At 54.6% G+C, this 8,417-nt stretch overlaps 4 annotated features.

Annotated features, from left to right (window-relative positions):
• Positions 940-1,798: an enhancer, noted in NCBI's record as "H3K4me1 hESC enhancer chr9:134157582-134158440 (GRCh37/hg19 assembly coordinates)". NCBI's record gives its function as "activates a minimal SCP1, AML or CMV promoter by ChIP-STARR-seq in naive H9 embryonic stem cells {active_cell/tissue: H9 hESC(naive)}" and the evidence as "EXISTENCE:reporter gene assay evidence [ECO:0000049][PMID:30033119]".
• Positions 1,799-2,656: an enhancer, noted in NCBI's record as "H3K4me1 hESC enhancer chr9:134158441-134159298 (GRCh37/hg19 assembly coordinates)". NCBI's record gives its function as "activates a minimal SCP1, AML or CMV promoter by ChIP-STARR-seq in naive H9 embryonic stem cells {active_cell/tissue: H9 hESC(naive)}" and the evidence as "EXISTENCE:reporter gene assay evidence [ECO:0000049][PMID:30033119]".
• Positions 6,741-7,656: an enhancer, noted in NCBI's record as "H3K4me1 hESC enhancer chr9:134163383-134164298 (GRCh37/hg19 assembly coordinates)". NCBI's record gives its function as "activates a minimal SCP1, AML or CMV promoter by ChIP-STARR-seq in naive H9 embryonic stem cells {active_cell/tissue: H9 hESC(naive)}" and the evidence as "EXISTENCE:reporter gene assay evidence [ECO:0000049][PMID:30033119]".
• Positions 8,235-8,354: an enhancer, noted in NCBI's record as "active region_29185". NCBI's record gives its function as "activates an Ori minimal core promoter by ATAC-STARR-seq in GM12878 lymphoblastoid cells {active_cell/tissue: GM12878}" and the evidence as "EXISTENCE:reporter gene assay evidence [ECO:0000049][PMID:35858748]".

Consider the following 8,417-nt stretch of genomic DNA (forward strand, 5'->3'; position numbering starts at 1 on the left):
GTTCTCTCCCCAACTGTTGGGGACCAGACCGAAAGCCAATGACGAAGCTTGGAATGTCCACCAGGGAGGTGGGTGGGGCCAAAGAGCCAAACAGGTGTCTGAAGGTGGGAGACATTGAGAGGCTAGGTGGCAGATGGAGGCGTAGGGCATGTCTGCATCCCTGACCTGCCTAACTGGGACAGGGGGCAGGCTGAGCCTGGCCAGGGGAGTAGGGACAAGATCTCAGAGAGAGCTGGTCCAGCAGCCTCCCCTACAGGTGGGGAACAGAGGCCCAGTGAAGTCCTCCAGGGAGGCTTCCTTCACTAGAACCCGGGTCTTCTGGCCCTGCACTCAGTGAGAGCGTCACTCTCCACTGAGGGCCATGGTGCCGCATGGGTATGGCAGGGCATGGGACAAGGGATTGAAACCGCTGCCTGTGCTGGCTGCAAATCTGGAGGCTGGGGCCTTTTCAGCCGAAGCTCAGAACCACATGGCTTATAGGGCAAGTTAGGCTTGGGGCACCTGCCCACTGTTCCAGCTCATTCCTTCCCCAGTGTGGACCGGACACGTCCGCCGGGCCAGGCACTGAGAAGATATAGCGGAGGAGTCACAGCCAGGCCCAGACAACAGCACTCACATCCCCTTCCCTGAGATGTCGGGGATAATGCCAGGAGCCATGAATGAGGGTATTGATTATCATCAATAATAAATAGGTACAGACTGATGCTCAAAATGGTTATGAGTAAGCATCGATGGCTATAAATCAGGAGGTATGTCGGTCAGTTGTTTCGATGTGTGTGTCTGCTGCTGAGCTGGAGGAAGGGTGCGTGCACCAGGGCTGTGGGTTGTGAGGCTGTGGGGTGTGTGTGCAGTGGGATAGGGCGTGTGGGGGCATGTGCATCTCTGCGTGATGATGTGAGTGTGCATCTCTGCGTGTGAGGCTATATTTGACAGTTGTTGGTGACTGTGGGTGTGTATGAGTGTGTCCATCTTGTAAGTGTATGTGCCTGCATGCCATGTGGGTGTGTGTCCATGTGTGTATGGGGTGTGTAATGGTGTGAATGAGCATATGTGGTATGGGTGTTGATGGGCACGTGCGTGCAAGTTGTGTATAACCGTGTGTGTATTGTGTGAGGGGATGAAAGTGGGGGTGTAAGGATGTGTTTAAGTGTGTGTTCTGGTTGTGTGTTTGGGTCCATGTGTGTCTGTGGATGAGGCCATGTGTCTGTGTGTCTGTGTGGGTGTGGGTGTGAACTGGATTGTGTGGTGAGCACATCTGTGGGTGTGCATGAGTGTGAGTGTGCAAGTGTGTCTGCACATGCGGGTGTGTTGGGTGTGAGTGTGGGGCTGAGTCCGAGTCACTGAGGCTGAATCGAGATCAGGAAGGGGCGAGTAGGGACTGTCCCTCGCTGCCCACCGAGGGTCCCAGGTAGGGCTCCTGGCCTCGCACTCCGCCCCCCGAACCCCCGCAACACCCTCCACTCCCCCTCTGGCCGGGCTTCCCCATCCTCCTGGAGGTTTCTAGGAGCCTCCAGCCACCGCCCTGAGCGCCTAAGGTCTTCCCCGCCCGGGGCGCGCGTCAGAACGCACAGTCTCCCAGCCCAGGTCCGGAGGCTCAGGCAGCCCAACGCCGGCACCGCGGAGCTGCAGCGCGCTCAGCACCGCCCCGCCCACCCCGACGCCGCCCCTCTGCACCCGCTCACCACCAGTCCCACCCAGCAGCCTCCGTCCGAGAGGTCAGAAGCCCACGAGCAGGAGATGCCAGTGGGGGGACGCGGGCAACCCCGGCCGGGCCAGGGGCGCGCCGCCCACCAACACGCCCCGCGGTCCCCCGCCCCCCGCCGCCGGGGAAGGACGGAGGGGGCGGCCTGGGATCGGGTGCGGGACTGGGAGTTCTCCAAGGTGCTAAAATAAACCCAGCGAAGGATCAGGTTTCCCGACCAAAATAACCCAGGAGCGGCCTTAGAAATGCGAACTGAGAAAGCGATCCGGGCGGGAGGCGGGGGTGAAAAATGCTTTCCGCGGGGCTCCCTCGCCCTCCTGGCAGGGGAGCCCGCGGCGGACCCTCCCTCCTCTCCCCTGCAGCTGCCAGGCCGTTGGCCCCACCCAGAGTGGAGCTTCTCACCCACTCCCTCCCCTTCCTTTCTGCCGTCAGTCCCCCAATAGTGTCACAATAGTCCCCTAACAGTGTCCCACTGGCCATCTTTGATGACCAGGTGTGTAGCAGGTTCGAGCCCGGCTTGGAAGTTGTTTCTACTATGAGCCAGGCACTGCCTGAGCACCTGGGTCCCACCAGTGAACAAATAGACGACAGTCCCCGCCCCGGGGGACTAGCCTTTTCCTAGCAGGACACAGAACCCCAAACACTCACAGAATAAAGAGGTGAGGCTATGCTGCGTCCGAAAGGGATATGGGCTTAAAAAAAAAAAAAGAAGGCTGGGCGTGGTGGCTCACACCTGTGATCCCAGCACTTTGGGAGGCCAAAGCGAGCAGATTGCCTGGGCTCAGGAGTTTGAGACCAGCCTGGGCAACATGACGAAACCCCATCTCTACTAAAAATACAAAAAATTAGCCAGGCGTGGTGGTGCACACCTGTAGTCTCAGCTACTCGGGAGGCTGAGGCAGGAGAATCGCTTGAACCTGGGAGGCGGAGGTTACAGTGAGCTGAGATCACGCCACTTAATTCCAGCCTGGGTGAAAGAGCGAGACCCTGTCTCAAAAAAACAAACAAGAAAACAGCAGAGAGCAGAAGAGGGAAGAGGGCAAGGGGTGGGGGGTGAGATTTGACTTGGGGCTCCCTGCTGGTTCATGCAGTGGCCTGGCTAGATCCCTCAACTCTGAGCTTGTTTTCCCCTTTGTGTGCAGGGCGTGAAAAGCCCTGTCTGTGAAGTGTCTGTGCTGGTTACACTGGGTGATGTAGGGCGTAAACTCTACTCCAAGCCTGGCACAGGCATAGCAAGGGTTAGGTATAAGCCAGGGGTAAATATGCATGTTTGTATTTATGGTAACTATCTTAAACTCTTAAAGACAGAAAACAAGTGTCTGCAATGTCCAAACTGCTCTAGGTACCAAAAGCTGCCAGAAAACTCCTGCTGTCAAGTGAGAGAGAAGTAGTATTGTCAGATGGTTAGGGATTTAGGCTGAGCTTTGGGTCTGAATCCTTGTACCAGCTGTGGGCCCTGGCAAATCAATTCACTCCCAGCCCACCTCTCAGCAATCGATATTTGGAACAAGGCCCAGGTGGAGCAAGGCTCCTGGGACGTCTACTGGTCTAAGGGGACAGGGCCACCAAGGTCATCTTTGCTCTTCTCATTGGTCCGTCCATGGGGCCTGGCACATTGTGGCTTCAAGAAGTGTTGGTGAAGGCTGGGTGCGGTGGCCAATGCCTGTAATCCCAGCACTTTGGGAGGCCAAGGTGGGCAGATTGCTTGAGCTCATGAATGCAAGACCAGCCTGAACAACATGGTGAAACTCCATTTCTACAAAAAGCAGAAAAATTAACCGGGCGTGGTGGCATGCGTCTATAGTCCCAGCTACTTGGGAGGCTGAGGTGGGAGGATCACTTAAGCCTGGGAGTTGGAGGTTGCAGTGAGCCAAGATCATGCCACTGCACTCCAGCCTGGGCAACAGTGCGAGACCCTGTCTCAAAAAGAAAAAAAAGTGTTGGTGAGTGAATGAATGAAACTGAATGAGTAAGTGAATGAGTGACAGACGAGGCCAAGCAGGCAGGGAACAGAGAAGCTGTGGGACACGTGGCCAGGAGGACAGCTCACAGGCTCAGAGTCAGAGGGACTGGCCTGCCTAAGTCCCAGCTCTGGCCCTGGCTAGCTGTGTGGCCTCACAAGTGATGTCACCACTCTGGGCCTGCACTTGTTCCTCTAACATGGGAAGAGGGTGGTTGGACTTGGCTTGTCAACCGCGAGTGTCTGTGGCCCCATCCTGCCTCCCATGTCTGGACGCTACAGTAGGTAGTTTGGGCTAGCCCACCAGATCCCATGGGGATCCCTCCCAGCATGGTCCCAGCCACCCCACCTTGACTACTTGTTTCTTTTTTCTTTTTCTTTTTTTTTTTTAATTGAGACGGAGTTTCGCTCTTGTCATCCAGGCGCTGGAGTACAATGACGCGATCTTGGCTCACTGCAACCTTTGCCTCCCGGGTTCAAGCGATTCTCCTGCCTCAGCCTCCTGAGTAGCTGAGATTACAGGTGCACGCCACCAAGCCCTGCTGATTTTTGAATTTTTAGTAGAGACGGGGTTTCACCACATTGGCCAGGCTGGTCTCAAAGTCCTGATCCACCTGCCTCGGCCTCCCAAAGTGCTGAGATTACAGGCGTGAACCACTGGCCCGGCCTTTTCTTTTTTTGAGACGGAGTTTCGCTCTTGTCGCCCAGGCTAGAATGCACTGGTGCCATCTTGGCTCACTGCAACCTCTGCCTCCTGAGTTCAAGCAATTCTCATGCCTCAGCCTCCCAAGTAGCTGGGATTACAGGCGTTAGCCACCACACCCAGCTAATTTTGTATTTTTAGTAGAGACCAGGATTCACCATGTTGGTCAGGCTGGTCCTGAACTCCTGACCTCAGATGATCCACCCGCCTCGGCCTCCCAAAGTGCTGGGATTACAGGCGTGAGCCACTGCGCCCGGCCTTGACTACTTGTTTCTATCCTGCTTTAGAGCACAGGGATATATGCAGAAGGACAGCCACCCTAGAGTAGTTTTTGAATAGTTACACAATGGAAACAATGAAATGTCCAATAACAGGGGATTGGTTACATAAATTCTGGCCCATCCATGTGACAAAATGCCAGGCAGCCTTTGAAAAATAATAGAGTGTCATGGAAACATGGCCAGATTTATATTGTTAAGTGAAAAGGATAGGTTGCTTTTCAGAAGAATGTATAATGTCATCACATGTTTAAAATGCATATTTTGGGGCCAGGCGCAGCGGCTTACATCTGTAATCCCAGCACTTTAGGAGGCCAAGGCAGCAGACCACTTGAAGTCAGGAGTTCAAGACCAGCCTGGCCAACATGGTTGAAACCCTGTCTCTACCAAAAAATACAAAAATTAGCTGGGTGTGGTGGCATGCACCTGTAGTCCCAGCTACTCGGGAGGCTGAGGCATAAGAATCACTTGAACCCGGGAGACAGGGATTGCAGTGAGCCAAGATCATGCCACTACATTTCAGCCTGGGTGACAGAGTGAGACCTTGTCTCAAAAAATAATAATAATAATTTTTAAATGCATATTTTTGTGTATGTTGCATATATATGATATATAGAGATATAGCTTATTTAGTATATATTATTTTCTAATTAATAAAGTAATGCTTGGTTGATGCAAAATATTTTAGTAATTGGAAATGAGACAAGTGAGAAACCGTTTATATCCTGATCACCCTCACGTTAACACTGGGTGGTAGGATGAAACCTATATCAACCGCGTGTGTTGAATCTATTGCAGTAAGTATGTAACACTTTGATAGTAAGAAAAAATAAGGCTATTGGTAAAATTATACTCTTTTATAAATTGGCTAATTATTTTGTGGATGTGTGTCCTGGTATCCCCAACTAGACTGCGAGATCAATGAGAGGACGAGATCAATAAAAGCATTGAATGAATGAATGGATGGATGAATGAATGAATGAATTCTCAGTCTCTTGGGAAGTGGGATTGTGCGGCCCATATTGGGTGCTTATAAAGGTTTGTGGGGGCCAGGCACAGTGGCTCGTGCCTGTAATCCCAACACTTTGGGAGGAGGAGGCAGGAGGATCACTTGAGCCCAGGAGTTCGAGACCAGCTTGGGCAATATAGTGAGACCTCGTCTCTAAAAAAATAAAGTAAAAATAAAGGCTTGTGGGTTGAGGCAACCAGGAGTGTCTGTGGTCCCATCCTGCCTCCCTGTATCTGGGTGCTATAGTAGGTGGTTCAGGTTAGCCCACCAAGCTTGCTTGCTCTTGCTTCCCAGCTACCTGAGACTGTGAACAGTGTCACCCCACCATACAAGGGAGAGGAGCAGGTCTCAGGGTCCTGGAGGAAGCCACCAAAACCATCACAGACAGAAAGAGCCCTTCACACAATCTTCTTGCCAGCCCTCAAAGGGGAAAACGGGCTTGGAATGGCGAAAGGATTTGCCTGGGGTCACTCTGGAGGTGGCTGAGCCAGGGTTTGAACCTGGGGCCATCCTACCCCAGACTTTATGTCTTAACTACTGCTGGGCAGGAGCCAAATCAGACCCCATGGCCCCAACAGTGTGAGGCCCATTGTGGCTCTCAGAACATGCCAGCAGCTCTAGCCAGACGAAATGCTGACACAGCCTCTGGGTATTAATAGCCCCTGTCTGGGCCGGGCTCCTGTGCCCCTCCTGAGGCCACCCAGGGAGAATGGGGTGAGTGCTTGGTGGGGAGATGAGCAGATCAGTTCCCTGTGGTCCAGGGATCTGAGTCCAGCGGCCCTCGTGCCACCCCCCATAGGGACCACTTAGGAGCCGGACCCCTTCTCTTTTCAGCTTCCTGGCTCGAGGCCTTCACCCACTCAGCCTCAGCTTCCACGTCTGTAAATGGGGATATCACAGCTGCGTTACAGGACTGTCATTAGACTTTGTCGATAAGCTGAACACATAGAGAGCTCAGCACACAAAGAGCTTATACACGCTCAATATCCGTGCCTGGCGTGCACACTTCCATGTGCGCCAGGTTCCAGCCGTCTAGTGTCCGGGATGAAGCAGCACATGTCATCATTGCTGCACCCAAGATGGCAGGACGTCTCGCGGCCACGACATCCCCTCTATGGCCGCACAGTCTGAGTGGAGCACGCTGGAGAGGAAGAGTGGGGAATGAGGCAGGTCTAGCCTGCTCCAGCCCAGCTGGACCCAGCCAGGGCGTCTGCAGGGAACCCCAGACTGAAGGCTCCTGGACTCTGGCCTCATCCCTGCCAGGAAAGGGGTGGAGGCCAGACCACAGGGTTGGGCCCTTCTGAAGCGGGCACTCAAAAGGAAGAGACGGCTGTGCCTCGTTTGTCAAATGAAATCAATTACTAACCCACAGGGCTGAAATTGATTCCTAACTCACTCTGCAGCAGGGACTCAGCTCAGCGTTTCACAAACACTGTCTCACCCGGACTCACGAGAGCCCTAAGAGGTGGACACTGTCATTCCCATGCGACAGGTGGAAACACCAAGGCCCAGGGAGGCCAAGTGAGTTGCTCAAGGTCTCCCAGCTGGTTGATGGCGGGGCAGAGCCCCGTCTGTCTGACTCCAGAGCCTGGGTGCCCATCCCCCATGGCCAGGGAACACCCACTCCCTCCCAGGGCAGCTTCCTGTTCTTGGGAGGCTCTAGGTGGGCCTGAGGCACCGTGGGCTGGCTCCATGGTTGGAAGAGAAGTTGCAGCCCCCTGCCTTCATCTGGGCGAGCAGACAGGCCTTGGCCACTGAGAATCAGGAGACGGAGGAGCTCACTTCTGACTCTTCTGGTCAGCTTAAATTGGCAGCTTCCCCCATCGAGCCCAGGCCCAATCAGCCCTAAAAGGGCTGTGGAGACTTCGGGTTCCCACAGGTGGTCCAGATGGGAGCAGGGATACCTCCCTCACATCCGGAATCCTCAGCTGGGCCCTCTGGGTCTGCGTTCTGGGTTTGCAGCCTCTCGTCCCCTTGGGCCCCATGCAGCCACACGGGCCTCCTGGGCCTCCTGCAAGGCAGGCTGTCCCCGAATGGGACTCCCCCTTTGTTCTTCCTTCCTGGGGGCAGCCGTCCCTGATTCCCAGACCAGACCCAGAGCCCCCAGAGCCCCGCTTCTAGGATCCTGCCACACATTTGCACACCTGTGACCACTTACACGTGTCCTTCTTTCCATCCCCACTGAGCTGTGAGCTTTTCGCAGTGCGCCCAGCACTGACACACTGCCAGGCGCTCGGAAACTATTTACGGGTTGCCTGAAGCTGCTGTCACACTCCCGTCCTTTGCGAAGTTCCAGGTAGTGGAGGCAACCTCCAAGAGGCAATCCATTACCAACCAACTCATGACCCCTCCCTCCGGTGGAAATCAGAGCTCACGGAGTGTCGTTTGATTGGACTGTGATGCACTGAAGCTGAATTCAAGACTGATTTAAAAAAAGACCTGCCAGCTGAATGAATGCTGTCACAGAGGGAGGAGCTGGACCTGGCCCCAGGGACCCAAGATGATGCTGTCAGTGACGTCGTTCACTCCATCTGGTGCCCAAAGAGGCCTCGGCCCAAGCAACACCGTCCAGTTTACAGGACCAGGTCCAAGCTGCCCGGCAGCTGGGGCAGGCAGGCCTGACTTGCAGGGGTCTGGACGGCTCAGAGGGAAGCTGGTAAAAGCAGGGTAAGCCCAGGTCCCACCTCTGCCCCTTCAGAGGCCAAGGCCACTGCAGAGTCCAGAGCAGCCGGAGGACTACATTTCCCAGAGTCCCCCAAGCCCAG

Source organism: Homo sapiens, chromosome 9 (genome assembly GCF_000001405.40).
Source record: "Homo sapiens chromosome 9, GRCh38.p14 Primary Assembly".
In the NCBI taxonomy this organism is placed as follows: domain Eukaryota; kingdom Metazoa; phylum Chordata; class Mammalia; order Primates; family Hominidae; genus Homo; species Homo sapiens.